Consider the following 27,167-nt stretch of genomic DNA (forward strand, 5'->3'; position numbering starts at 1 on the left):
GGCCACAGGCCCTGCCTACCATCCAAAGACCCCCACCCCCACCCCACCCCCAGCTGGGCACTTCCTGTCCAGGACTGGAACAGGAAGAGGCTCTGGAGGTGTGTAGGAAAACAGGAAGTGACTGGAGGAAGTAGGTGCCTTTGTTCAGTACCCCCTTCTCGGCGTTGCCCCCAGGCTGCGCCAGCGGCTCAGCAGCCCTCTGTGCAGACCTGGTCAGCCTCCAGCCCTGTCCCCTCCTGGTCCTGGGGCCTGTGGGCCTCAGGGGCTCATGGCCTGGCCAGGTGGCCTTGCATGTCAGCTTCCTTGTCTGGGAAGCCGCCAGAGGTCCGCCCTCCATCACAAAGCCGGAGACTGGCCCTCTGACCTTTCTGCAGGCAGGGTGGCCGAGGCCTACAGACTGCAGGAAGGTCACCCGCTCTCGGCTGCTCTGCCCAGCACTCTGGAAGCCAGGTGGAAACCACATGGCAGTAATGGCCTCTCTCTCCTCCCTTCTCCTTCTCCCTGGGCACTCAGCAGCGCGGCTGGCCTGTACCTTATTCTTTCCCTCCACAAACTCGGTCCAGGTGTCCAGGCTCTCGATGGGGTTCACGGCATCCTGCGTGGTCACCGCCCTCCAGTCACGGCACTGTGGCATGAGGTCTTGCTGCTGCCGCCGCCGGCTGCCAGGACCAGAAGAGGCAAGGGCAGGTCAGGGATACAGGCAGGAAGGGCCCACATGGGGGGCGGGGTCAAGCCCTTGTCATATCCAGTCACCTTCTCATATGGGGTCGTGGGCGAGGCTGGCCCTCGGGCCTGGGTGAGGGAGATGGGAAGGGGACTTTGGTGTTTTTTTTTTTTTTTTGAGACGGAGTTTCACTCTTGTTGCCCAGGCTGGACTGCAATGGCACAATCTCAGCTCACCGAAACCTCCGCCTCCTGGGTTCAAGCGATTCTCCTGCCTCAGCCTCCCAAGTAGCTGGGATTATAGGCATGTGCCACCACGCCTGGCTATTTTTTTTGTATTTTCAGTAGAGTCGGGGTTTCTCCATGTTGGTCAGCTGGTCTCGAACTCCTGACCTCAGGTGATTGGTCTGCCTTGGCCTCCCAAAGCGCTGGGATTACAGGCGTGAGCCACCGAGCCCGGCCTGTTTCTGGAGCTCTGTCTCCCACCCTTCAGGCTCAGGACCCGGCAACCCATCCTACACAGGCTGCCAACACCAGCTTCCTGTGCCCACTGTCCCTCAGGCACATGTGCACTCTGTCCCGCTTCTCTGTGCCCCTTCCTGCAGAGGCCACCTGGGATCTGCCCACATGGCTGCAGGCCCAGCACAGTCCCATGCTGCCCCCGGAGGCATCTCTGCCCAGCCTCTCCCTCTCTCCTGCTTTAGGAGCTGCGGCCTCCCTCTGGGCAGGGTGTGCATCCCCAGCAAGCTTGGCCTCCTGCCAGGATTGGGGGGGTAGTCTCAGGGCCCCAAGGGAGGCTCATATCTGCCCCTGTGGAGGAGCCGAGCAGGGACCCCCCGAAGGGCTCCATCACTTGGCACAGAGCATACAGGTGGCACACCCAGAAGGAAGGACATTTGGAGGTGCTGGCAGTGAGCTGCATGCCGCACGATCTAGAAGAATACCTATGAACCTTGGACATCTGGGGCCGGCTCATGCCACCCCTACTGAGCCTCCCCCACTGACCACACCAGAGCCACAGCCAGTGGGGCTACCCTCATCTCCCATGTAGGTTCCCAGCTCCCATCCCGCCCCAGTTTGATACTAGGAATCTCTTGCTAAAAGGCAAACCTGAGCCATGTCTCCACTTCTCAACACCCTTCACTGGCTCCCTAGTGCCTTCAAGCCCTGCCCACCTGGGCGTCCTCCTCTCACCCCCTGCTTGTCTAAATGTCCTGCTGGCATCCCGCTCAGTGGAGGGGAGCACGGCTCAGCAGGTGGCTGGGTCCTGTTGCTTACAGCTGTGCCCCTGGGAAAGCCGCCTCCCTTCTCTGACCCTATTTCCCTGTCTCTAAGGGGATGTGAGTGGTGCACAGATGAGCTGAGGCCCATGAGCACACATGGTGTGCCGTGGGGCTCAGTGCAACCATCCCAGGGGCTCAGGTGACACCCCCCCAGGTCCCCACCCCGCTGGAGGTGTCCTGCTGGGTGCTCAGAGACATGTGCTTCCTTCTCCCTCCAGATGATGCAATTACGTGTCCAGAGGTCTTCGCTCTTGAGGGAGGTGGGCAGGGGCCAGACCCATCCTGTGTCCAGCTTGGCCAGCTGATGGAGGATGGGTGCAAGGGAGGCTCTGAGCCTCACTCAGGCGAGGTGAGGCCAGGGATTGGCTATAGCTGAAGGTAGGGTTCAAGTTCAGAGCAGGGCCCTGAGAAGGGGTACAGGGAAGACCTGGGCAGTGAGGGGTGCTGTAAAGGAGGTTCCTCATGGCTGAGGCTGGGGGCTGTGGCTGTGCAGGGGACCTGAGGCTGGAGCTGTACTCACAGACTACGCTGGGCAAACATCTTGCAGGGTGTCCAGGGCCGCCAGTGCCACTGGATGCTGAGAGGCAGGGGCACCCCGTAGGCCGTGCAGGTGAGGGCCTGGCGGCTGTGACGCGAGTAGATGCTGGGGGAGGAGGCCTCCTTCTCATGTATCTGGGGGGGCACTGTGGGCACACAGATGGCCGGTCAGCTGGCCTCCAATGCCAGGCCGCCCACCCGTGCGCTCTCCCGTCCCTGACCTACCATTCACCACCAGCTCCAGGCTGATGTTGCGCCTCAGGCCAGCAGCGGAGTTCCACAGGGCGAGGGTGTAGGTGCCTGTGCTGGCCTCTGTCACCTCCTTGAGCACCAGGGCATGTGGACTGTGGCGCCCGGACAGTGCCTTTCCATCCTTGTACCTGGCCAGGGAAGGGAGGTCAGGGCCCATACAGATCCCACCACAGCCCCAACCTCATGCTGGCACCCCCACCCCAAATACAGTTGGGAGGAGGGAGGGGCTGGCAGGAGTGCAGGGTAGGACGGGGAACACTGGTCTGCGAGGGGATGGTCTAAGTCCCTGGAGATGGTCTCCAGGCCGTATCTGCCAGGTGTGACAACCGTGTCAGGCGGCCGGCTCGGGCATTGGTCACTGAGGTCTGCAGTAGCACCTCCTGCCTTGCCCCAAAGCCTCTGAACTCTCCACAAGTAGTGAGATGACCATGTCACTGCTGGGGCAGCCGCCTTCTCTCCCTGCCTGTGGCTGCAGACAGCCTTCTTCAGCCAGGCTTGCCCAGCCCAGCCCAGGAGGGTCCCACACACCTGGTTCCTCCACCCAGCTGGGCACGGCCTGGAGACCCCGTCCTCTTTCTTAGACACCTGAAGGAGTGGAGGTGCAGTCCCTGCGAGCACAGTCTAGCTCCTTGACATGTGCGTGGCCCCTGCAGACATGTGGGCTTCTTGCTGCCCACACCCCGCCCCCAGGCCTGGCTCTCACTGCCTGCCTCGCTGGGACACTCATTTCTGTAGCCAGGAATCTGCAGGGTTCCCTGCCTCCTTCATTTGGGTGGGGGCGTGCAGCCTTCCTGACTGTCCTATGCTGTGGCCTGCCCCTGCCTTGCTGTGTCTGTTTGCCCATCGTCCCCCTGGGCTGGGAGCCCCACGAGGGCAGTGCTGCCTCCTGCAGAGTTGCGCCCAGATGCCTACATGTCTGCTGCACACGTGAGGAAGCAGATGCCTCAGCCCCAGAGGGTGTGCTGGGGCCCCTGCAGGCACCTGTCTCTGTGGCCTGGACTCTGTATGGAGATGCTCCTCCTTTGGACAGGTGCCTGCCCCTGGTGCTGGGTGTGGCAGGCCAGAGATACACCACTGTGTCCTGGGAGAGGCACAGCCCTCGGGCAGAGACCAACAGAGAAGGGGAGGCAGGGGCCCATTCTCAACTTGGACATCACAGCAGGGGCCCGGGGGGAGTGCCTGGCCTGGGGTCGCAGAGTGAGGCAGGGCAGGGCAGGGGCGGAACTGAGGTGGTGCTGTCTGCATGGCTCTGGTCCTGAGTCTGCCACTTGCTGGATCTGAGACTCCTTCATTGCCTCAATGGAGATGACATGCACCTTGCAGCTGTCGTGAGGTTTAACCCGGACAGTGACAGCAGCGTGCTGGACACACTGCGGGTGCTTCGGAAGCCAAGGACCAGCCCATCTGTGTGTTTGCTAGACCGTCCACCCAGTCAGTGCTCGCCATCGTCATGTGCTGGTGCCATAGGAAGGGTGGGCACCACAGGAAGGGTGGGTGGCTGCCATAGGAAGAGAGCCAGATGTGGCAGGAGTGAGCCAGTGGAAAGCTGTTCTGAGAGGCAGCTGCCTGAGGACTGGGTAGACCCTGGACGCAACAGAGCTGCCACCTGCCCAGAGCAGGCTCAGTAATGGTGGCCTTGGAGGGCAGGGGACAGGGCCCAGGGGTCTCCAGGAGCTGTACCCGTGAGTGAGGCTCCAGGATCTGCCAGTGCCCTCAGGACTCTGCCCCAAGGGCCTTGGCACTGACCAGGTGCCTTGGATGGACACCGAAGTCTGTGTCCTCAGTGGGAGGGTCACACTGGGCTCAGGGCCAGGACACCCTGGGCCTTCCATCCCAGGAGAGACGAGCCCCCAGCCAGTGCAAGGGGCCCTGGCTGAGGAAACCCTGGGCCTCTGCTTGCCCAGCTCCAGGAAAAGTTGCCCTGCCAGGAGGGAGGTGCCCAGGCTGAAGAGAAGGAGGCTCTTGGGCTAGCTCAGTGCAGAGACCCCTCCTGGGGAATTGGCGATCAGTTAGGAATACCCTTTCCTAGCCTCTGCTTCCTCGTCTATGCAATGGGGACTCAAAGTGTGACTGACTGTGGGTGAGCCATGTGGATGACTCAGACGGCCTGAGGACGTGTTTGTGAGGGGTGCCATGCCCCCCCAGAGCCTGCAGGGAGTAGCCAGCGGAGACAGGGCCACCCCTGAGGCCTCCCTTCTCTGGGCCGCAGCACACGCTTGCAGATCGGGGATCTGCGGGGACTCCAGCAGCTTGTCGGCCTCCTGGAAGCTCTCTCGCTCGCTGCCGTGCAGCACAGGCCCAGCCCAGGCAATCTGTCAATTCCCTGTGGCATCTCCAAATTTCTGGACAGAAGGGTCCTGGGAGAGGCAGCCTCGCAAAAGGAGGCATAGGGAACGCTAAGCCATTGCTGCAGGGCAGGCCCTGGAGATTCTGCAGGGCAGAGAGGGGCCCAGCGGTCAGGAGGCAGTTAGGAAAAGCCCCTCGCTGTGCCCACCACACCCACATGTAACAGAAGGCTGGTACTGAAACCTTTCACAGTGTGGCAGGAACAGACAGACCTTCCATCTGAAATATCACATTATGGGCGGGTTCCTTGGGGGGTCTCCTGAGAGAGGCCCCCGCCATGCCTGGTCTCCGTGTGCAGGTCCTGACGGGGAGGACGCTGCCCGTCTTCCCCTATGGTCTGTTTTGCCCCTGGACTTGGAAGGGTATCGGCGGGGTCGGTGGGGAGCCAGGGCTGTTACCACTGGAACTCGGGCGGGGGGTACGCTGCCAGCTTCACGGGCAGCTTCACCAGCTCGTCTCCTGCCGTGGCCTCCAGGATGGGTCCTTTGAGCCACTCGACGCTGATGAAGGGATTTTCTGCCGGACAGGAGAAGTCACTGTAAATCCAGGACTGACCCGTCGTGGACTGACCAGGGACTCCCCCCACGGCCCCTGCAGCCCCGGCAGCCGGACATCCGCAGACTGGGGCTGGCCATGCCGCCCGGTGCAGGAGCTGGGCAGCTCCTCTGCTCGTGGCCCTCCCTTCCCTCTGGCTGGACTCCTGAGTGCTCAAGGGCACCGTGAGCTCTGGGCCCAGGCCCACAGGGCACAAGGACCCTGGTTTCCCAGGCCATACCATGCACAATGACCTCGGTGCTCTCCCGAAATCGCTGGATGCCGTTGTTGGCCTTGCACACATACGAGCCCAGGTCGTGCTGGCTGACGTTGTGGATGGTCAGGATGCTGGAGAGTTCTGTGTGGGTCTGCTGGGAGCGTCGCTCGGGCACCCACTTACCCCGCTCTGCCTGCCCGCACCCAGGGAAGCCCCGCGTCAGCAGGCGGGCTCCTGCACAGCTACCCCACCGAAGGCACACCTCCCAGCCCAGCCAGCGGTGGCTCCGGAAGCCCTGGACCCAGGCCCTGAGTTTTCTTTGGGTGGAACACTTGCCACTCAGACCGGGGCCCCTGGGGCAGGCCTGGGCCCACACATCCTCCACGCGGAGGCCCAGTGTGTGCTGTACAGTCACAGGGACTCCTGGGGACAGGACAGCCTGGCAGCGCTGCTGACCTCACCTGCTTCCCTGGGTAGTCCCAGTCAAAGGTGACACCTGAGTTAAACTCAGCCCACACGGTGCAGTTCAGGACCAGCTTCTCCCCTACCAGCAGCTCCAGCGACTTCCTGGGCAACAGCTGGATGTCATAGAGCTCGTTGCCTGTTGACACGCACACAGTGACTCCCACGCCCTCACAGGACGACACCCACTGAGGCCAGTGAGGCAGTGACAGCCCCGTTACTGGGAACGGGGCACAGCCCTGTTACCTGTGATGTGCACCAGGAAGGGGTTGGAAAGGAAGTCCTGGTCTCCCCAGGTGGTCTCGCACTGCAGGTACAGGGCATCGTGCAGCAGTGGCGTGGACACGAGCATGCCCCGCCGGTCATCCCACACCACCTCCTGCCCGTCTGGCCACAGCACCGAGCTTTGCTGGAGGGACAAGGCCACCATCATTGCCCAGCTGCCCCTTGCTCCTGGCCAGACAGGCGGCCGCCTTTCCCAGGGGTGGGATGGGAGGGTCGGATGCTGGGGTTGGGGTGGGGCCGTACCGAGCGCAGCGTGACATTGAGGCCGGGGATGGACACCAGACAGGGCACCCACATGGCGTCCTTCCTGTTGACCAAGAGCGTGTCAGGCTTGTTGATGAATGGCTGCTCAAAGTCTATGGAGAGGGAGCAAGCTGTTGGGGAAGGGACGTGGCGGCCAGGCTGGGGGAGGGCTCCACGGGGCTGGGTGGTGCTGGTCCTGAACCAGCCACCCGCTGGAGCAGGTAGGGCCCCGTTCTCTCCTCCTGCCAGCCCAGGGTCCACAGGCTGGGGGCGGTGTGGGCCCCAGCTGCCCGGGACCCTGCTCCAGCCTGGCCCGCCTCCAAGTCTCACCTCTCACGAACACGTAGGAGCTGGCGGCCGTGGTGCCCTCGATGCGTGCCTTGATGTACTTGTAGTAGCAGACGTAGCTGCCTGTGTCGTTGGCATGTACCTCGTGCAGCAGCAACACCTTGCAGTAGGGCCTGGCGTCTGTGCCCTCGCAGTCTCGCACCACCCCCGTGTCCTCGCTGTCCTTGTCTCCGGTGGCTGGCGCCTCCTGAGCTCCTGGCCAAGCCCACTCGAGGGGGTGCTGTCCCCTGGCAGAGGACAGGAGTGGTCAGGTGGGCCCCAGGGCAGCCCATGGGGACTGTCCCTGAGAAGCCTCCCTCAGGCCGAGCCTCACCAGGTTTGTCTTACCCAGAGCATGGAACTGCCCAGGGTTTGGGCGCACACTACAGACCGTGCCCAGGGCAGGGCACTCCCCGACCCCCGGGCCTCTACCAGGCTCCCGGGGCTGGCCTGTGGCCAAGCACAGGCCTTGGATCACAGCTGGGAAGGTGGGGAGGTACCCATCTCTGGGGCCCCAGTGGGTGCTCCCAGGGTGGCTGGGAGTGGATGCAGATGACCTGGGAGGTGGCCTGGGGTCAGTGTGAGGTGTCAGGAGTGGGGTGCAGGGTGATGAGGCCCCATATGAAATGCTGATGGGGTGGGCTGGGCACAGTGGCTCACGCCTGTAATCCCAGCACTTTGGGAGGCTGAGGTGGGTGGGTTACGAGGTCAGGAGATCAAGACCATCCTGCTTAACACGGTGAAACCCCGTCTCTACTACAAATACAAAAAATTAGCCGGGCGTGGTGGCGGGCACCTGTAGTCCCAGCTACTTGGGAGGCTGAGGCAGGAGAATGGCGTGAACCCGGGAGGCAGAGCTTGCAGTGAGCCGAGATCGCACCACTGCACTCCAGCCTGGGTGACAGAGTGAGACTCCATCTCAGAAAAAAAAAAAGAAATGCTGATGGGGGTGTGTGGTTGAGGCTGGGGAGGACCGAAGTCACCCACAGCCTGGGAGACCACACGGCCCCGAGGCCACTCTGCCCTGACTCTGCCCTGGGAGGGGGCTGCCATCTGGGCCCACAGCCACCACCTCCTGCCTTGGGCTTGTGCAGCCTCTCTGGCCTGCCAGTGGGAGAGGGACCCAGTACCTGCAGGAGATGGACAGGCTGTCACCGGTGTCGATGACGTGTGACTCCTCCGTGATGTTCAAGGTCGGGGGGGTCATGGAGTAGCCACTCACCAGGCCTGGGGTGGGAGACAGGGTCAGCGTGGTGCTGGGCTGTGACTTGGCACGACGTTGATGGGGCATGGCTGGGCATTCTGCATCGCAAGCGCAGACCCCTGCAGGGCCGGAGCAGCTCAGGTTCTCAGCCAGCACCGCGTGGCCTGGCCTCACCATGTGCGCCGTGAGCAGCACCAGCTCCCAGGCGCCAAGACAGCCACGAACCTCTCCCACAGGCGCACCCTGCCTTGCCCCACAGCCCCCATCCTCAGCTACACACCGGCCCTGGACCTAACCCCAACCTCTGACCCCGGTGAGCTGAGCGGCTGGCATGAAGGAGCGGGGGAGGGGCGCTGGAGTGTGTCACCTCCACATCACGGCCCCTGCAGTGCTGCTGCCTGAGGCCCTCCCTCCTGAACTGCAGCCCTACACCCGCTGCTTCCCAGAGGGTCCGCACATCCCAGGTCCTCCCCGAACCACGCAGGCCTCGCCCCCTCCTGCCTGCTCTCTGCCAGGGGCCTCGCCCCCTCCTGCCTGCTCTCTGCCAGGGGCCTCGCCCCTTCCCAGGCCACGTGGTGTCACCTCACAGGTGTCCTTTCGCTCCTCAGCTTCTCGCACCCTCACAGACCCTGCTGGCTGCCCCAGCCTCCTCCGGGCTCTCCCTGCCCAGGCCTCCCTAGACACCCCCAGGTCTTCTCACAGGGCTCTTCCTCAGACATACAAATAAACCCGCCTCATCTGGCTGAAACCCACCATCAGCCAGAGACTGTAGGCTGGCCGGGCTGGGCCTTCTGTCCTGCAGGACTCAGCCCTGCTGCCCCCACACCCTCCTCCCCGTGAGGTGGTGTGTGTGTGTGTGTGTGTGTGTGTGTGTGTGTGTGCACACGCGTGCCTCCATGTGCATCTGTAACTGTAGGCCTGGGTGTGTGAGTCTGTGTGTGCCTATGTCTGAGTGGTGTGTGTGGCTTCCTGCGTATGTGCAAACATGCATGCATGTTTGTGTATCTCGGACATGCTGGCGTGTGTTCACACATGAGTGTGTATGTGGTGGGATCCCGGTGTGGGTGGGAGCAGGCCCCAGGGGAGGTCTGGGTCTGGAACTCTGGCAGATGCATCCTGCCGGGGCCATCCTGAGACAACAGGAAGGGAGGGCTGCATGGCCAGAGGCCCAGGGCTGCGTCCTGTCCCTCCCCCAGGTCCCTGTCCTCCTGGGGGCACAGCCCACTCTTCTGCCCCCAGGCCCCTCCCGTCCAACACGTCCCTTGGGGTTTGAGGCAGCAGTAGTCTAGCTCCCTGAGGCCCCAGGGTCCCGCCCTGAAGCTAACGGGGGTGGGGTGGAGCCCAGGGAATCCTTGACCCCAAGCCACCCTGGGACGCAGCACCAGGACGGCACCTGCTGCACACCAAGATCTCATTTCGGCCTCACACGGGCAATGTGGTCACCGGTCAATGATCTCTGGCCTCTCCCTTCTTCTATCCCTCTCTCCTGGCCAAACCCTTCCAGGCACCACTTCACTACGGGTCCAGAGCAGGAAGGGCCTTAAACCACACATCCAGACCCACTGTACAGACTGGGACACTGAGGCCCTCCAGCCACCCTCAGAAGGCAGCGCCTCGCCTGTCTGCTGCTGTGACTACCACCGAGTCTTTGCTTTGCCAGCCCTCCCTTGGGGCCCCGAGGTGGAAGGGGGTTGTGGGCTCTGCAGCCCCTTCCCCTTGGGGGTGCCAAGCCCTCACATGCACCACAGCGGGGCCTGGGCACTGGCAGCCCGTAGCTTGCACCCCTGGGGCTGCCATGAGAGGAGTCTGGGCCAGGGGCTGGGGGATCCCTGCAGTGAGGTGGCTCCCCTCAGGTGGTGAGGGGCTAAGAAGGAATCCCTCTGAGCTGGGCTTTGAAGGAGGGGGATTTTTTTTCCAGGTAGTGGAAAGTAAGTCCATGCCAGGAAGACAGCTGGGCATGTATGTGGGCACCGGAGTGGGTGGTGGTCTGTCCTCAGAGCTACAGAGGAGGGATGATGAGCATGGGGCTAGACCCGTCCGGATGAATAGACTCTACCTTCCCAGTGGACCTAGCGGGAGGTCAGGAGACCAGGCTCGAGGCCAGTGTCCACCTGCCCAGCCCCATGACTGCAGGAGAGAGAACATCCCGCCACCCCTACTGAGGTCTGGAGTGTTGAGCTGGTGGCCCCCTTCTCAGGAGTGCACATCCAGCAGACACCTTCCAGCTCCACCGTGCGGCAGCTGTCAGCCCAGCTTCCTCTGATGGCTCCCCTCTGTTCCCAAGATAAAGCAAGGTGGGCTGGGCCTCTGCCCTCCAGCCACTGCCTCTCTCCAGCTTCCTCTCCTAGGAGGCATGGACCTCCTCCTCCCATCCTCCCAAAGTGCCTGTTGTTTTCCTGTCTTGAACACTTGTCCTTTTTCCTGGGACATCCCTCCTTCCTTCTTTCCCTCCCGAGGGCCTCCCTCTTTAGGGTCTAGTTCAGACGCCCTCATCACTCAGGCAGCATCAGCCTCCTCCTCTTCGAGCTTCTGCTAGAACACAACCAGACTGAACTGTGGTTTTATGATCACATCTGAACAGAGGCTCAATTTTATTCATCTTCCTAAGCCCAAGACAGAGATGTGCAAAGGAGATTCAACGGGTGGATATAAGAAAGGATGGATGGGCCAGGCGTGGTGGCTCACGCCTGTCATCCCAGCACTTTGGGAGGCTGAGGCGGGTGGGTCACAAGGTCAGGAGATTGAGACCATCCTGGCTAACACGGTGAAATCCCGTCTCTACTAAAAATACAAAAAATTAGCTGGGCATGGTGGCGGGCGCCCAGCTAACTTGGGAGGCTGAGGCGGGAGAATGGCGTGAAGCCGGGAGGCGGAGCTTGCAGTGAGTGGAGATCGCACCACTGCACTCCAGCCTGGGCGACAGAGCAAGACTCCGTCTCAAAAAAAAAAAAAAAAAAAAGAATGGTCAGATGGATGATGGATGGAAACGGGATGGATGAATGATGAATCGCCAGATGAATAAATGGACGGATGAGTGGACAGACAGATGGGTGGATGGGTGGGTGGGTGGGTGGGAGGATGGATGCATGGATGGATGGAAGTATGGGTGGATGGGTGGGTGGGTGGGTGGATGGATGCATGGATGGATGGAAGTATGGGTGGATGGGTGGGTGGGTGGGTGGATGGATGCATGGAGGGAAGTATGGGTGGATGGGTGGGTGGGTGGGTGGCTGAGAGGATGGATGCATGGATGGACGGAAGTATGGGTGGATGGGTGGATGGGTGGGTGGGTGGGTGGATGGATGGATGGAAGTATGGGTGGGAGGGTGGGTGGATGGATGGATGGATGGAAGTATGGGTGGAGGGGTGGGTGGATGGATGCATGGATGGATGGAAGGGTGGGTGGATGGATGGATGGAAGTATGGGTGGATGGGTGGGTGGGTGGATGGATGGATGGAAGTATGGGTGGATGGGTGGGTGGGTGGATGGATGGATGGAAGTATGGGTGGATGGGTGGGTGGGTGGATGGATGGATGGAAGTATGGGTGGATGGGTGGATGGATGCATGGATGGATGGAAGTATGGGTGGATGGGAGGGTGGGTGGATGGATGGATGGATGGAAGTATGGGTGGATGGGAGGGTGGGTGGATGGATGGATGGATGGAAGTATGGGTGGATGGGAGGGTGGGTGGATGGATGGATGGAAGTATGGGTGGATGGGTGGGTGGGTGGTGGGATGGAAGTGTGGGTGGATGGGAGGGTGATGGATGGATGGATGGATGGATGGATGGATGGATGGATGGATGGATGGATGGATGGATGGATGGATGGATGGATGGATGGATGGATGGATGGATGGATGGATGGATGGATGGATGGATGGATGGATGGATGGATGGATGGATGGATGGATGGATGGATGGATGGATGTATGGATGGATGGATGGATGGATGGGTGGATGGATGGATGGATGGATGGATGGATGGATGGATGGGTGGATGGATGGATGGGTGGGTGGGTGGGTGGATGGATGGATGCATGGATGGAAGTATGGGTGGATGGGTGGGTGGGTGGGTGGATGGATGCATGGATGGAAGTATGGGTGGATGGGTGGGTGGATGGATGGATGGGAGTATGGGTGGATGGGTGGGTGGGTGGGTGGATGGATGGATGGACGGATGGAAGTATGGGTGGATGGGTGGGTGGGTGGATGGATGAATGGGTGGGTGGAAGGATGAATGGATGGATGGGTGGAAGAGTGGGTGGACAGGTGAAAGGTAAGTGGATGGGTGAAGGGTGGATGGGGAGAGGAGTCTGTAGGAGCTTCCTCCTGAAGGCACCGTGCCACCAAAGGAAGCACCTGCATCACTGCTGAGCAGGACCATCCATCGCGCTTGCCAACCCTTTTGCCCATCCACGCAAGCTTTTTCATGACATGTCTCCTTTTTCATGACATACCATAACTTATTCCAGTGACCCCTCTGCCTTTACCAACCTTCCACTGTGCCCTGTGTGATCGGCAAACTTTGCTGTAGACCTCACTGTCCACTCCGAATGTCCCTTCCTGCCTTATGTGAAGCCTGGCTTTCTGGCCACGGCACTGGCCCTGGGCGGTTACTGCCCTCCACCCCACATGCCTGAACTCCTCGCAGCCACCTGCCCTCCCTACAGCAGTCCCTCTGAGGGTCCTGCTCTTTGGCGGCACCGCCCTCTTCCCCATTAAAGCTGTCATCAGCTGCACCCCCCCGTCACTTCCCCTCATTCTCTGCTGACCGTAGCTCCTGGCTCACCATCCCCCCCACCCCAGCTCCTGCCCTTCTCCATGACTTCACCATCCACAGGGCTGACTCACCAGCACCCTGGCCTCTGAGATCCCCCCTGCACGGCCCTCACATCTTCTCCTCCTGAATCACTCAGTTCTGTGGGCGCATCCTGGACCTGGTCATCACCAGAGACCGCGCCATCCCGGAACACCTGTCTTCTACGTCTCTCTCCCTGCTTCCCCTGTTCTTGATCCACATCCTTCAGCCTCATCAAAGCCCCCACTGCTTCCTCCCCACCCCTTGGTGCCCTCCCGGTGCTGCCCCGTCCTGGTGCGTGGGGTCCGCAGCCGCCTCTCTGCATGCTCCCTCCCCTCTTGTCCTGCATCCCAACCCTGAGACAGCATGCATTCCAAACAGCACAACACTGGCAGCACAAGGCCCCCACAGGAGCTCCTCCCCCCCATTTTCCTGGGTGCACACAGTTCAGGGTGCTCCTCCCCTCTCACTCTCAGCATCGACAGGGCGAAATCATGAGACAGAAACACCCCACTGGCTGGGCACAGTGGCTCATGCCTGTAATCCCAGCACTTTGGGAGGCTGAGGCGGGCGGACCATCCTGGCCAACATGGTGAACCCCATCTCTACTAAAAATACAAAAGTTAGCCGGGCACGGTGGTGGGTGCCTGTAGTCCCAGCTACTCGGGAGGCTGAGGCAGGAGAATCGCTTGAACCTGGGAGGCAGAGGTTGCAGTGAGCTGAGATCGTGCCACTACACTCCAGCCTGGGACAGAGCGAGACTCCGTCTCAGGAAAAAAAAAAAAAAAAGAAAAGAAAAAAGAAAAACTCCCCATCTTCCTACATCCCAAAACCCACACTGCCAGCCAGGGCCTCAGAAATCCTCTGACATGCCTCCTGCCTGCAAACCAGGCCCTCCATCGTGCCCAGGGTCCCCCCACCACGGATTTCTCTTCTAATCACCAGTCTTTGCTATGCAATCATCTCCCATCGTTTTTGTTTGTTTGTTTGTTTTGAGATGGAGTTTAGCTCGTCGCCCAGGCTGCAGTGCAGTGGCGTGATCTCGGCTCACTGCAACGTCCACCTTCCGGGTTCAAGTGATTCTCCTGCCTCAACCTCCTGGGTAGCTGGGATTACAGGCATGCGCCATCACGCCCAGCTAATTTTGTATCTTTAGTAGACGGGGCTTCTCCATGTTGGTCAGGCTAGTCTCGAACTCCTGACCTCAGGTGATCCACCTGCCTCGGCCTCTCAAAGTGCTGGGATTACAGGTGTGGGCCACCATGCCTGGCCCATCTCCCATCTTAAAAACAAAACAAAATAATTACTTGGTTCCACACTCTCTTCCAGCCACTGCCCCTTTTCCTATCCCCCTTCATGGCCACAGCTGTTCACTGTCCCCTCTGCTAGTCTCCCCTCATCCACCAATGGAGTGCAGCTCCTTCACTTCACAGAGCCACTGGGCGGGGCTCTTATGACCTCCAGGCTGCAGACCTAGTGGGCACACAGGATAGGGAGCCGCGCATGCTCTCCCCTGGGCAGCATCTGTGACCTACCTCTCCCCAGCTCCCCTCTGCCCAACACACAGTGCTGGCCACCGCCGTCTCTCTGGAGTCCAGACACCTCCCAGGTCTCTAGCTCCAGCCAGGACTACTGTTTGCAACTTCAGTTTTAAGCATCCAGCTGCCCACTGGACTTGGGACACCCCACAGACAACCCGCAGTCTACGTTTCCGATGCTAAACTGCAGACGTGCACCCCCTCCAGCCCCACCAAAGGCTCCTCCCTCGATAGCTCCCTCTCCCCAGATCCTCTCCCAGCCCATCCGTTGGCCAGACCACTGAAGCCTGTCAGGCTGGATGCACCTTAGGGCCCGCCCCTGCTCTCTCACTGGGGCCAGCACAGCTGCACGCACCCCAAAGTGGCTTCTGGGGCCCGCTCTTGTCGTCCTCCAGGCCTGCCTCTGGGCCCCGCTCCCTGCAGTGAGTGACACTTTAAAAAGCACAGGCCTGATCACACTTGTGCTTCAATCTCGCCGGTGCACTGGATTCCCCTGCACTCCCAAGAAAATCCAAACTCCTGGTCCCTGTCCCTGTCTCCACACCCTCGTGGTTCATCCCCTTCACATTCACGTCCTCCAGCCACTGTTGCCTCCAGATTGTTCTGTGCCCCCAGGCTGACTTCTCACGCTAAGGACTCAGCTTAGACACGGCCTCCTCACCCCTACAAAATGGCTCCATCCTAGCCTCCTGGCTGCTTACGGCATCTTTCCTGTCCCAACTTGGAATTATTTATTTATGTGTTTGTTTGTTTAAGTTATATCTGTCCATGTCCTCCAATAGGCAGTAAGTTTCAATGGGGTAAGGACCAAGACAGCTCTTTCTTACCCCACCCCATGCTTCCCACAGCACCTGGCACAGAGTAAAGTCTCAGTGAACACTCGTTGAATGAAAAAAATGGAGGGATGGAAGAAGTATGGATGGATGGGTGGGTGGGTGGGTAGGTGGGTAGATGGGTGCAAGGGTAGATGGATGGATGGGTAGGTAGGTGGATAGGTGGACGCATGGATGGATGGATGAATGGATGGATGGATGCATGGGTGGGTGGAGGAGTGGATGGGTGGGTGAGTAGAAGGATGGATGGGTGGATGGATGGACAGACAGATGAATGGATGGATGGACAGGTAGATGAGTGGATGGGTGGACGGATGGATGGATGGATGAATGGATGGATGGATGCATGGGTGGGTGGAGGAGTGGATGGGTGGGTGAGTAGAAGGATGGATGGGTGGATGGATGGACAGACAGATGAATGGATGGATGGACAGGTAGATGAGTGGATGGGTGGATGGATGGATGGATGGACGGATGGATGAGTGGATAAAAAGATGGATCAACAGATGGAAGGATGCATGGATGGGTAGATTGAACAGAAGGATGGATGGACGGGCAGATGGAAGGATGAACGAATGGCTGGATGGAAGGATGAATGGATGGTGGAAAGGTGGGCATATGGGTGAAGCATGGATGGGTGGATGGTTAGATGGTTGGATGGATGGAAAGTAGATGGATGGATGGCTCAACAGACCTCTGAAACCTCAGAGACTCTTGTCAGACCCTGTTGTTCCACTGGAAAAGATGCTTCCTGTTTTATAGGATGGGCTCCCTGGGCAGATTCAGGCCTGCAGCCTGCCACGTCCAGAGGCTCTGTGACTGCCCAGCCCCCACCTGCAGCCCTGAAGAAGGCGCATCCTTCCTGCCTGGCTGTTGTCTGTCTCTGCTGTCCTTCCCTTCCCGCAGCAGGAAGCACTGTCATCCTGGCCTCTGCTGCGCTCCCCCTGCCTTCCTGTTCCTGGCCCGGGAACTGGCTTCTTCCTTCCCTGAGGCCCCGCAAAGCCCTGGCTCCCAAGCCTGCAGCAGCGTGGTTGGGGCAGGCACCGGGTGGAGGTCAGAAAGGCCAGAATGCATACCTCCTCTTCTCTGTACTGTCAGCAGCCCCAGGACACCCTCCGTCCTCGGGCCACGGGGCCTTGGCGTCAGCCACAGGCGTGGCGGGCGTGGGAGCAGCACAGGAGGGTCCTGCACCTCCCCTGGGCAGTGCTGGCACCCCTCCATGAGGGCCAGGCAGGGTGGGGGAACGTCCCATGGGTTAGGCACTAGCAGCGAGCGAGGTGGGGGGCAGCCGGCCGGCTGCGACTGCCTCATTTGATCCTCACAGCAGCCTGGGAGGGAGGGCTCAACAGCCAGGTCAGCGAGTGAGGAAACTGAGGCGCCAGGCCTCACAGCAGCAGGTGGCCACGTGGGAGCCCAGTCTGGCTGAGTCCAGGTCGGTCCCTGCCCCAGGACCAGGCTCCCCTCCAAAGGCCGGGGGCAGAGGCTCAGGCCAGACCCCAGCCCGGCCTTCCTCCTAGCCCCTAGCATGAAGCCTCAGAGACCCCTGCAGGCAGGAAGGCCCACGTAGGAGGCACATGGCTGCCTGGGCCCTGTGCCCCAGTGGCCTCCACCACACCCCTCCTTGGGGCCTGGCCTCCATCTGGCTTCATGCCCTAGTTGGCTGAGGGCAAAGCCCTTTAAGCTAATGATGCCGTTTTTTTCAAAAGCTTCTTTCCTGAAAACGGAGGGAAAACCCAGCCCAGCCCAGTGAGAGCTGCTGGGAGAGCCAGCCTTGCTTTCCTCCCATGATGTGGGAGTCGGCCCCTCCCTCGGCTCCACACCTGCGTGTCCTGCGTCCCTTGTTCTGTACAGAACCCATATTTTCTCATCAAATCCTCTCTGGGCCCACCAGGATGGGACTGAGATGGGCTGGCTGTGCCATACCCTGGTGGGACAGGGTCCCGGCCCTCTCTACGGGGCAGTGTGGGTGAGCGCTGGCCTTAGCTGGTTTCTGGGAGCTGCTCTCCGAATGATGGCTGAGTCCACAGGGCATGGCTGGGTCCAGGTCCTGGTGCAGAGGTGAAGGGGCCGGCATGAGAGATTGAGGGTAGAACTAGCTGCATCCTCGCAGCCCTGCCCTCGCCTTGCCATCTCTCTCAACCATCACCCTGAGCACCAGCCTCCCAGGCCCCTGCTCTCCAGCAGGCTCCTCCCTGCCCGGTTGGGCTGTGTCCTCTGTCCTCCCTCGTCCTCTGTGCCCGGCAAACTGCTGCCCCCAGCTGAGCATGTCATCCCCACTCTGGCCTTGACCCACAGCACGTGGAGGGTCCGAGTCATCAAGCGGCTCCTGGGCCGGGGTGTCATCAGCCCATGGCTCTGTCCCCAGGCCCAACACAGCCGGCACAGGGATGGCACTGGGATTATCCATCAGCTTGGGGCCCCTCCACATTGGCAGAGAGCATGGCCCTGCGGTGGCCACCCTGGGCCTGGCCCTACTTCTCCCTCTCCCTGGGGTGCTTGGGAAGACGGGGACTGTGTGGCAGGCCTGCCAGCTGGACACACACTTTCTGGGCAGCTGAGCCCAGGAGGACAAAGGCAGCCAGAAGCCAGGCTGCAGACTGGAGGGAGCTGGCGGGGAGCAACGGAGCTGCTGGCTGAGCTGGGGTTGGGCAGAGGGGGTCACCTGCACCCTCTCTTCACTCCTGGGGCCAGGCCTCTGCAGGGACCTGGGGGGAGGCAGCAGGAGCGTCCTGTCTGGTGGCCCCTGCTAACCTGGCCAGCAGCCCCTGTGCCTTCAGAGCTTAAGGGGCTGTCGGTCCTCACTGCACATCCTGCAGGTCTGAGAGAGCTGAGCCCGCATGCCCGGCTGGGCACCCCGCACTGCCGCTCTTTGCTGTATGGTCTTGGGCAAATCACTTCCTCTCTCCAAGCCCCAGTCTTCCCACTTGTGAGATGTGGATTGGCCCTAGGATGACTGGGAACTACAGACCACAAACAACATGGTTAAGAATAAACTGTCGGCTGGGCACAGTGGCTCACGCCTGTAATCACAGCACTTTGGGAGGCCAAGGTGGGCGGATCAGGAGGTCAAGAGATTGAGACCATCCTGGCCAACATGGTGAAACCCCATCTCTACTAAAAATACAAAAATTAGCCCAGTGTGGTGGCGGGCGCCTGCAGTCCCAGCTACTCGAGAGGCTGAGGCAGGAGAATGGCGTGAACCTGAGAGGCAGAGCTTGCAGTGGGCCGAGATCGCGCCACTGCACTCCAGCTTGGGCGACAGAGTGAGACTCTGTGTGAAAAAAAAAAAAAAAAGAATAAGCTGTCTCTGGCTCATGCACACGGATCCCTCTGCTCTCACCTGCCTCCTGAATGCTTGGTTTGCTACAGCTGCTGTATCACTGTGACCCTGTGTTGTCGTCAGAGCATGGGGGCCTCGCTGGTGGGAGAGGATTCATGTGAGCTGAAAGGGGCATTGTAGACTGATTAGGAGCTTGCTGGCCCAGGAGGCGGGCACACAGGCCAGAGTGCCGGTGACTTTGGGCCCTCAAGTAGATGGAGCAGATGGAGCATGGTAAAGGTGATGAGGCCGTGGAAGCAGGCCCAGGTCCCCAGCCGGCCTCGGGCCCTGTCCTGCTCGCTGGATGTACTCTCTCTCTCGATGGTGGCACACCGGGGGGCTTCAACCCCACTCTGTGCTCTCACCCTCCCTGACAGCTCTCCTGGGCTCCAGTCCTGGAGGACCCCAGACCTCGAGCCCAGCCCACATCCAACACTGGGTAGGATGACTGGAAGCACGGAGCTCACAACTGTGCACCCGCCAGAGGAGCAAGTACCACAAAGAATGAGAATTCCCAGCGCTGGAGAGAATGTGGAGAAGGAGGCACCCACACAGTAATGATAAACAGCATCCATACACCGATGGCAAATTCTCCAAATTCTCCTTTCCCAAGACCTCCTGCTGCAACAGCAGCAAGCGTGCACCGAGCACTGTCCATGTGAAGCACAGCCCTACGCATGTGTGCATTCCACATGCCTTCACACCCCTGCGGTTGCCTCCGTATTGCCACTGTACAGATAGAAAGCTAGCACACAGAGGTTAACGCATTCCAAAACACATGACCGTTAAGATATTGTCTTGGGAAGACAGGATTAAGGGAAGCTACTATTCATTCTACAGATGTCTGTATAATTTGCATTTCTGCATTTTACAAAATGTAATCATCTCTTCCATCAGCGTGGGAAACCCTGCTCTCCCTCCCACTAGGTTGGCTGTCCAGGTGATGCTCACCCACCAGACATTCCTGACCCCGCTCATCCCCCACAGCCAATCGGTCACCAAGTGCCTCCATTCTGAGCTGAAATGGGCTTTGCAGACTGAGTAGGAGCGGGCCCAAGAGGAGGGCACTGTGGGTGGGGTGGCTGAGAGTGCCAGGCCCCTGCCCCCACCTCTCCTCACCATCCTGACAGCAGCTTGGCGTGGATGCTTTCTGGCCGCAGAACCCCTCCCGGGCATTGCAGGCGTGCTGTCCCTCCACTTTCCCTCCTCCCCTCCCCGCTGCTGGCCAGCCTCAATGGCTCTCCCCCCGGGTGGCAATACCAGTGTCTCCCACTGGCCCAGTCCTTGCTCAGGGGTCAGATGATCTTTCTAGAACACAAGTCCCTCTCCTGCCTAAAACCATCCCCTGCCCCTTTGCTGCTTATGGACAGAATCTGGTGCCTCCTTGGCCTCCTTGCCACCCACCCGGTGCGGCTCCAGACCTCCACGTGCCCTAGATCTGGAACAGCCCCTCCCCACCTCTGACGTCTGAGCTGCTGTGCTGCTTCCCCAGCGTCTCACACCGAGGCTCCCCACCCAGGACTCCTGCACTTTTCCATAGCTCTGTGGAGCGGCCGGCTCATTACCACTTTTAACAGGTTTTTTTTTTTTTTGAAGTGGAGTCTCGCCCTGTTGCCCAGGCTGTAGTGCAGTGGCACGGTCTCGGCTCACCGTAACCTCCGCCTCCCAGTTTCAAACAGTTCTCCTGCCTCAGCCTCCCGAGTAGTTGGGATTACAGACGCCTGCCACCGCACGCAGCTAATTTTTGTATTTTTAGTAGAGATGGGGTTTCACCGTGTTGGCCAGGCTCTCAAACTCTTAACCTTGTGATCCGCCCGCCTTGGCCTCCCGAAGTGCTGGGATTACAGGCGTGAGCCACCATGACCCGCTCTTAACGGTTCTTTAGTTCAAGACAAGGGCTTCTGTGTGTCTTTTCGTCGTGGCATATTCCCAGGATTGGACTTAGCCAGCAATTTACCCATGGCTGGTTTTGAGGATCCAAGGGACCAAAAGAAGCCATAGTATGTGTGGGCAGGTGTAGGCGTGAGCGGAAAGAGGGCACAGGGTACCGGGAGGGTGGAGAGGCTGTGCACGGAGGGGCACGCCGGGCGTGTGGTGGACCTGGGGGAAATGTCTGCAACATGCTGCTTTGTAAAGGTCTCTGGGACAGCAAAGTAAAAATGGCCATGAGGTGGTTAGAAATTGAAGAGTCCACCTGGCCAGCCCTCTAGGGCATTCCCTGGGGAATGTGGACAGTGGCCTGTGTGCCTGCCCCTTCTTTCCCGCTTGGCCCCCATGCTATTTGGAACCAGATGTCAGACACCTATTAACCCCCTGAAATGAGCCATCTATTATCTAGAGAGCCGTTTCACCCTTGTGGCCTGAATTTCCTAATCTCCAAAATAAGCATAATAAGGTCTGCGTGACGAGGTTAAAACCTGTACGTGCCCTGCTGTGAAGCAATCTGAGAAACCATTTCACACGGAGGTGTGGCCCACTGCCGGACACGCCACATCTGTGTGCATGTGCCGGTGCACGCTTGCTGCTTAAAACAAATCAATCTCCATTTGGTAGAATTTAGAGTAGCTTCGAGGACAGTGTGTTGAGTTGGGTGATGATGGGGGCTTCCCCTAAACCCACCTGAAAGTCTGAGGCACACTGTGAGCGGGAACGAAGCCATCACCTGCCCCGGAAGGCCCCTTCCGCTTGGAGCAGCACCGTCTGCCCGGAGTTCCCAGCAGTCTCCCAAAGGGCACGTCCAGGGTGGGCGAAAGGCCATGGTGCTGGGGCTGGTGTGTGCAGTGGGTGGAGGCTGGGTGGACGCGGGGCTAGGGATGGCCTGGGACTCCAGCAGGAAGGGCCGGTACCACGAGCCCAAGAAGCTGGTGCTTATCTTGTGGGTGAGTTGGGGGGGGCCCTGAAGGCTCATTTACAGCAGTCCCTTTGGGGCAGAATGGAGACAAATTTCTGGAAGATGCTGGAAACAGGGAGTGGTGATGAGGTTGAGAAGGGCTGGACCTGCGGGGAGCGTGGGCTGCCTGAGTGCCCCGTGGGGGTGGAGACCAGGAGGAGGGGGCCTGAGCAGATGCTAAGCTCCCAGCACACGGCCGCCGTGGGGCAGCCAGCTATGCCAGGCAGTTTCCCCGGCTTCCGTGGGGTCAAGGCTCTGCTTGCTGGCCGGCAGGACGAGCGGCGTTATCAGACAACCCAGCTGGCGCAGAGGTGGCCCCCCAGTGCTGCTAAATCGGGGCCACCAGCTCCTGCCGCAGGAAGAGGGAAATGCAGGCAGGATGTCCTCTCCTGTGGCCGACAAGTCCTTTCCCATGAACCCCTGCTGACCTCGCCGGCCACGTGGCGGGCCTCCCCTACTCACCACCTGGATCTACCCAGGCCTGGCCGTGGGCTAGGGTGGTGCGGGCCTCAGACAGGGCCGGGGGTGTGCCTGCTGTTACCCCGTCCAGCCCGGCCAGGGCTGGCGCCCTGCTCCTCCTCCGGGAATGAATGCCCGCATCTTCCTGCTCCCAGACCTGTCTCCTCAGTGTGACCGGAAAACCCAGATTCCAGAGGAAGCCAGTGTCTGAAAAGGATCGAAACTCAGGAATCCCTGGCTCCAGCTGGACACACTGACTGAATCTTGCTCAGAGTCTAGGGGGTGTGAGAGGCTCTCCAGACCCCTCTCCCTGCCCACCCCCAACTCCGAGGGGCATCTCAGAGGGACGTGGGGCACAGGCTAGGCCTTGGTGGAGAGAAAACTGCCCTGTGGAGGAAAATACGGCAGCAGGAGGGGAGTAAGCCAGACACAGAGAAGCACCTCCCCTTGCAGCTGATTCGCTTAATTTCCCTGGTTCCCCCATTCCCCTCTGTCCCATCATACTCAAGTGCTCCCAACTTTCCTCCCTCCTTATCTGGCCGGGTGCATCAGCTGAGGTCTCCGAGGAAATCCCATTGCCTACCTCCACCCAAGGTCCTGCTCCTCTCCCAGGGTCTCCCTTTGATAAATTATCCTTGAAGCCAGAGACCTGGGACTTCCTCTGTCCCCACCATCCCCAGCTGCTACCTGCCTCCACCCCAGTTTATCCCCTGGGTTATCCACTTGCAGTTCCTGTCTCCCCTGGACACCAGCCTCCTTGCTGCTGGCACTGCCGCATCTCCAGCCTCGTTTCCCCTACCTCCCATCCACTCCTCCCAGACTCCAGCCTCACCGGACCACCCACTTGGCCACATTCACCATCTGGACTTGCCTGTCTCTGGGGCTTCATGGGGTTCTTTGCTCTGCTTGGAATTCCCTGTCCTGGAGTTCTGCAGACCCCACCAGGAAGCCCTTAGCTGGAAGTGACACTGCCTTCCTGTGCAGCTTACAGCCACCAGCTGGGCCTCACCAGGGCCCCTGAACACTTTCATCCCTGGGCAATACACGTCTGATGGCATGTCTGTGTCCCTGCAAGGCACAGGAAACCCCTGTGCGATGGGGCCAGGTCCAAGTCCTCCCTGGGCCACCCCGAACAGGCACTATGCTGGGGTCTTGCATAGAACTGCAGGCTCCTTCCCTGGGTCGGGGTGCCACTGCTGGGGGTTACAGTGAAGAATTCGCCAGACAGACCACACATCACACCTCGTACCCTGTCTGGGCCCAGCCATGTGGGCCCTATGCTCTGGGAGGGCTCAGGACTCCTTCAGCCACACTGGCTCTGTGCCATAGGCCTGGTGGATGAGGGAACAGCACCTGCATTCGAGTCCTCAGAGCCCTGAGCTGGAGCAGAAGGTCCCCAGGCCCAAGTAAAGTGGGCCTGATCCCCACATCCTGCCTGCAGTGACTTGCATCCCTGGGCCACACATCTGTCCACATCTGGGCCTTTGTGACCCAGGTCACAGCAAGGGCAAACGTCCTGAGACCAGGCCACTCCAGATGCCCAGCAGACCCTGCTCCTGCATGTCCCTGAGCTGGTAGCCACAGTGCAGAGGTGCCAATGGCCTCTCTCTAGACTAAGCCCCAAGAGACATCTGTGACCTACCCTCTCCACTGGGGCAAGACTGTGGAACTGCAGCAGGCATCTGGGTCTTGGAGTCCAGCCCAAGCACACACAACCCACACAACCTCGGGGCTTGCCAGCTTGTGCCATGGCTATGCTTGTGCCATGGCTATGCTTGTGCCATGGCTATGCTTGGGGAAACTGAGGTGCAGGGAGGGGAAAGGAGGGGGCCCAGGTCACACAGAAAGGACTTTACGGCAGAGGCAGGACAAGAGTCTGGTTCTATGATCAATAGCACACTTTTAAGGGGTCAGCTTCAGGATGCTCAGGCTTCTGGCCTGCTCCCACCGGACCAGCTGCCCTGACACCCGACTGCAGCTCCCACCGGACCAGCTGCCCTGACACCCGACTGCAGCTGAGGGCTTGTGCTTCCGCCATGGCATCCCCCATCAAGCTGGGGGCTCCCGGGGTCTTCAGCCTAGCAGGGGGTACAGCAAGGTGCAGGGCTCACGGAGGGATGACCTCTGTCTTCATTGCCATCTCCCCACCAGCCAAACCCAGGTCCAGCCCAGGACACCCCTCTCCATGGGGCGCCCAACTAATGCCCTCTCTCCTCTTCATAACTGGGTCACTAAGAGTCACTACTTACTGCAGGGAATAGCTTCCTCACCCTTCACCCCACGTCCCTCTGTGCTCCACCCGGGAGCACCAGGACACTGGCCTCTCCTGGTTCTCCTTATACCTGCAGAATGTTCCCTGGATCCCTGGAAGCCCCCTTGCCCTCTGGGCCCCTCCTCCAGGGTTCCCCTCCCGGGTCTCTCTCTTCCTCTCCAGCTACTCAGCCCAGCTCAGACACTGCGCCCAGGTGCCTGTCCCATGTCTCCTCCAGGATAAGCGTCTCCCATTCTACAGCCCTGCAGTCCAACCAAGGTCTACCAGCCACTCGACAAATACATCCTGAGCACCTGTGGGAGCCTGGTCCTGGGCTGGGTCCAGGAGGGCCAAGGGCAGCGCCCTGATCTGGCCTGCCCGACTCGGAGGCCCAGATAGATGTTCTCCTCCCTCCTCCCCTGGTTGAGCCAGACCTGCCCCCTCTCCTGTCCTCTGCCCTTCAGCCAGTGGACATACAGGTGGTGAGCAAAGGCAGGCTTTGTCAGGCTTACTTTGGGCCTCCTGGGGACCTTGGGGAAGTGACACATGTCCTTGGTCTAAGCTTCTCCATGTGTAAAATGGGTCTGACACTCCCTGTGAGAATTACAAGCATGTAAAGCCAGTATTTAATTCCTATGGCGTGCAGAAATGTTGAGGTCCCCGTCGCTGACTTCAGGGCTTCAGACACTGGAACCCCTGACCCCGCCCTTACACCCTTTGATTTCCAGGGACACCAGCTCCGTGGGGACTCCCAGCTCATCTTCTCAGCTTCCTCCCTGACATCTCCATCCACTCCCTCTGCCGCCCGCTCATCCCCCACAGTCCCTCTTTCCAACCCCTCCGCCTCCGCTTCAGGTCTGCGTCTCTCCCCGCCAGAGCCACATCCCAACACAAACCGAACCCCGCCTCTCCTGTGCAGGGGACCCTCCCGCGGGGGCCTCTGCTCCTCAGCTGGCCTTCGAGGCCCCTGTCCCCTCAAATCCGGGGACCCCTGGCCTTCCGCCCCTTCTGCGGCGCTGACAGCCCGCGATTCGCCTCCTCAAGATTCGTCTCAAGTGCCAGCGTGCACCTGCACCCGTCCGCCTCGGGCGCGCGGTGGTCCCCGGCCCCTGTCCCCGCCGTCGCCGGCCACGGGGAGGGGGAAGCCCGCCTCGAGCGCCCTCTGGGGGACCGACCGCGAGCGGAGGCGCTGGGCGTCGGGAAGTGCGCACCCAAGTCCGGGGCCCGGCCGGGATGGATCTCCGGCGCGCGTGGGTCGGGACGGCGCGGCGCGGGGACCCCGCGGGGAAGCGAGTAAGGGCGCGAAGGATCCGGGCTCAGCGCGCAGCCCGGCAGGGCCCGGCTCCGAGGACGCGGAGCCACCGACGGAGACGCGGATTCAGGGGCCGGGAGAGCTACCCCTGCGCCGAGGCGCGGCCCGGCCGCCCTGGCCCTGACCCGGCTGCGGTCCCCGCCCGCCCCTTCCTCATCCCGAGGTCCCGCGCCCCAAGCGCCGTGCTCCCCTCAGGCGTCCGCGCACCAGGGCCACCGTGTCCCCCGCCCGTACCCGGCGGAGCGGTCTCAGCGCCCGCCCCAGGTGCGCGGTACCCCCTCCCCGGCCAGCCCCACGCTCGGGCGGGTGGCCCGTTCGCCGCGCTCACCGTCCAGGAGTCCCAGGCAGAGCCACAGTCGCAGGCACAGCGCGGCGCCCCGCTGCATCTCCGGCCGCTGCGCGTGGGTCCGACCCGAGCGGCCGCGGCTCGGGGCTGAAAGTGTCCGCGCGGGCGCCGGCTGGCCTGGGGCGGGGCGGGGCGGGGCGGGGGCCGGAGGCGGGCCCGGGATTCAGGCCGCTCCCCGCGCCCCCCTCCCCCCGTCCCTCCCAGCCCGCCGCGGGGCGTCCGGTGCACCCGAGCAGTGCGCGCTCCGCACCACAGGGTCCGGGCCCCCTCCTGGGCGGCTCCGGGCGCGGGGACGCGGGTAACGCAGACGGTCTCGCGATGCGCTCCGGAGGTGATGGAGCCTGGTGGGCAAAGGGGAGCAAAATGCGGCACGCGCTCTTTTCCGTCCTTTCTTTCCATCGGTAAAATCTAGACTAAACAAGAAAGCAATCCTTGTAAAAATAGTATGTTACATCTTTGAAAATAGTGGCACCAGCCGGCGTAACATAGGGAGACCCAGTCTCAAAAATAAACAAGCAAATAAATAAAATAATACGCCGAGCTTGGTTGTGCGCGCCTGTAATCCCAGCTTCTCGGGGGGGCTGAGGCAGGAGAATCGCTTGAACCCGGGAGAAGGAGGTTGCAGTGAGCCGAGATCGCGCCACTGCACTCCAGTCTGGGAGCCAAAAAAAAAAAAAAAAAAGCAAAAACAAAACCCGTTCAGCAGTGTTTACCTGCACAGTGTCGACGGACAGTGTCGACGGAAGCCGCACCCGTGAGCGGGACACCCGGGATGACCGACCCCCTCCCTGCAGGCCTGGCCTCCTAGCTTTAGAACTCCCCCAGATGTTTTGTTCTCAGCTCAATCAGGACCCGCCCCCACCTTTTTAATAAAGCGACACTTTGCTTTTGCTTTCTGACTTGGCAACCCTCTTACAGACTTCCGTTCTCTTTTCAGTTTGTCTCTAGAATTTTCCTGTTTAATAATGAAGCCCATGACCATGACTGTCTCAACCTCCTTCCCTGCTTTTCGTTTCATTCACATTTTCCATCCCCCCACCCCCGCCCCCCAAAGCCCTTTCATC

At 60.6% G+C, this 27,167-nt stretch overlaps 1 protein-coding gene across 10 annotated transcripts in view, besides 5 other annotated features; it reads right to left on the minus strand.

The window, feature by feature from the left end:
- Nucleotides 1–26,896, minus strand: part of FLT4 (fms related receptor tyrosine kinase 4) — a 48,793-nt gene extending 21,897 nt beyond the window's left edge. For 3 of the 10 annotated variants that reach the window (NM_182925.5, NM_001354989.2, NM_002020.5), the window contains exons 1-11: nt 26,086–26,198; nt 8,280–8,376; nt 7,153–7,397; nt 6,823–6,935; nt 6,541–6,703; nt 6,294–6,433; nt 5,857–6,025; nt 5,480–5,597; nt 2,709–2,863; nt 2,467–2,629; nt 533–659 (exon numbers count right to left, since the gene is read on the minus strand). In NM_182925.5, coding sequence (NP_891555.2) covers nt 533–659; nt 2,467–2,629; nt 2,709–2,863; nt 5,480–5,597; nt 5,857–6,025; nt 6,294–6,433; nt 6,541–6,703; nt 6,823–6,935; nt 7,153–7,397; nt 8,280–8,376; nt 26,086–26,143 — 1,548 coding nt within the window. In that variant the 5' untranslated portion in view covers nt 26,144–26,198. Of the gene's footprint in view, nt 1–532; nt 660–2,466; nt 2,630–2,708; nt 2,864–5,479; nt 5,598–5,856; nt 6,026–6,293; nt 6,434–6,540; nt 6,704–6,822; nt 6,936–7,152; nt 7,398–8,279; nt 8,473–21,464; nt 22,378–26,085; nt 26,199–26,816 lie in introns of those variants that run through there. The other 7 variants (XM_017009268.2, XM_017009263.2, XM_011534478.4 and 4 more) reach the window with 7 other exon arrangements.
- Nucleotides 8,617–9,246: an enhancer, noted in NCBI's record as "H3K27ac-H3K4me1 hESC enhancer chr5:180059019-180059648 (GRCh37/hg19 assembly coordinates)". NCBI's record gives its function as "activates a minimal SCP1, AML or CMV promoter by ChIP-STARR-seq in naive and primed H9 embryonic stem cells {active_cell/tissue: H9 hESC(naive and primed)}" and the evidence as "EXISTENCE:reporter gene assay evidence [ECO:0000049][PMID:30033119]".
- Nucleotides 9,247–9,876: an enhancer, noted in NCBI's record as "H3K4me1 hESC enhancer chr5:180059649-180060278 (GRCh37/hg19 assembly coordinates)". NCBI's record gives its function as "activates a minimal SCP1, AML or CMV promoter by ChIP-STARR-seq in naive H9 embryonic stem cells {active_cell/tissue: H9 hESC(naive)}" and the evidence as "EXISTENCE:reporter gene assay evidence [ECO:0000049][PMID:30033119]".
- Nucleotides 16,553–17,199: an enhancer, noted in NCBI's record as "H3K4me1 hESC enhancer chr5:180066955-180067601 (GRCh37/hg19 assembly coordinates)". NCBI's record gives its function as "activates a minimal SCP1, AML or CMV promoter by ChIP-STARR-seq in primed H9 embryonic stem cells {active_cell/tissue: H9 hESC(primed)}" and the evidence as "EXISTENCE:reporter gene assay evidence [ECO:0000049][PMID:30033119]".
- Nucleotides 18,812–18,968: a silencer, noted in NCBI's record as "fragment chr5:180069214-180069370 (GRCh37/hg19 assembly coordinates)". NCBI's record gives its function as "represses an EF-1alpha promoter that drives an FKBP-Casp9 reporter gene in an ReSE screen in K562 erythroleukemia cells {active_cell/tissue: K562}" and the evidence as "EXISTENCE:reporter gene assay evidence [ECO:0000049][PMID:32094911]".
- Nucleotides 22,097–22,762: an enhancer, noted in NCBI's record as "H3K27ac-H3K4me1 hESC enhancer chr5:180072499-180073164 (GRCh37/hg19 assembly coordinates)". NCBI's record gives its function as "activates a minimal SCP1, AML or CMV promoter by ChIP-STARR-seq in primed H9 embryonic stem cells {active_cell/tissue: H9 hESC(primed)}" and the evidence as "EXISTENCE:reporter gene assay evidence [ECO:0000049][PMID:30033119]".

The sequence above is a fragment of the Homo sapiens genome, chromosome 5 (genome assembly GCF_000001405.40).
Source record: "Homo sapiens chromosome 5, GRCh38.p14 Primary Assembly".
Lineage (NCBI taxonomy): Eukaryota > Metazoa > Chordata > Mammalia > Primates > Hominidae > Homo > Homo sapiens.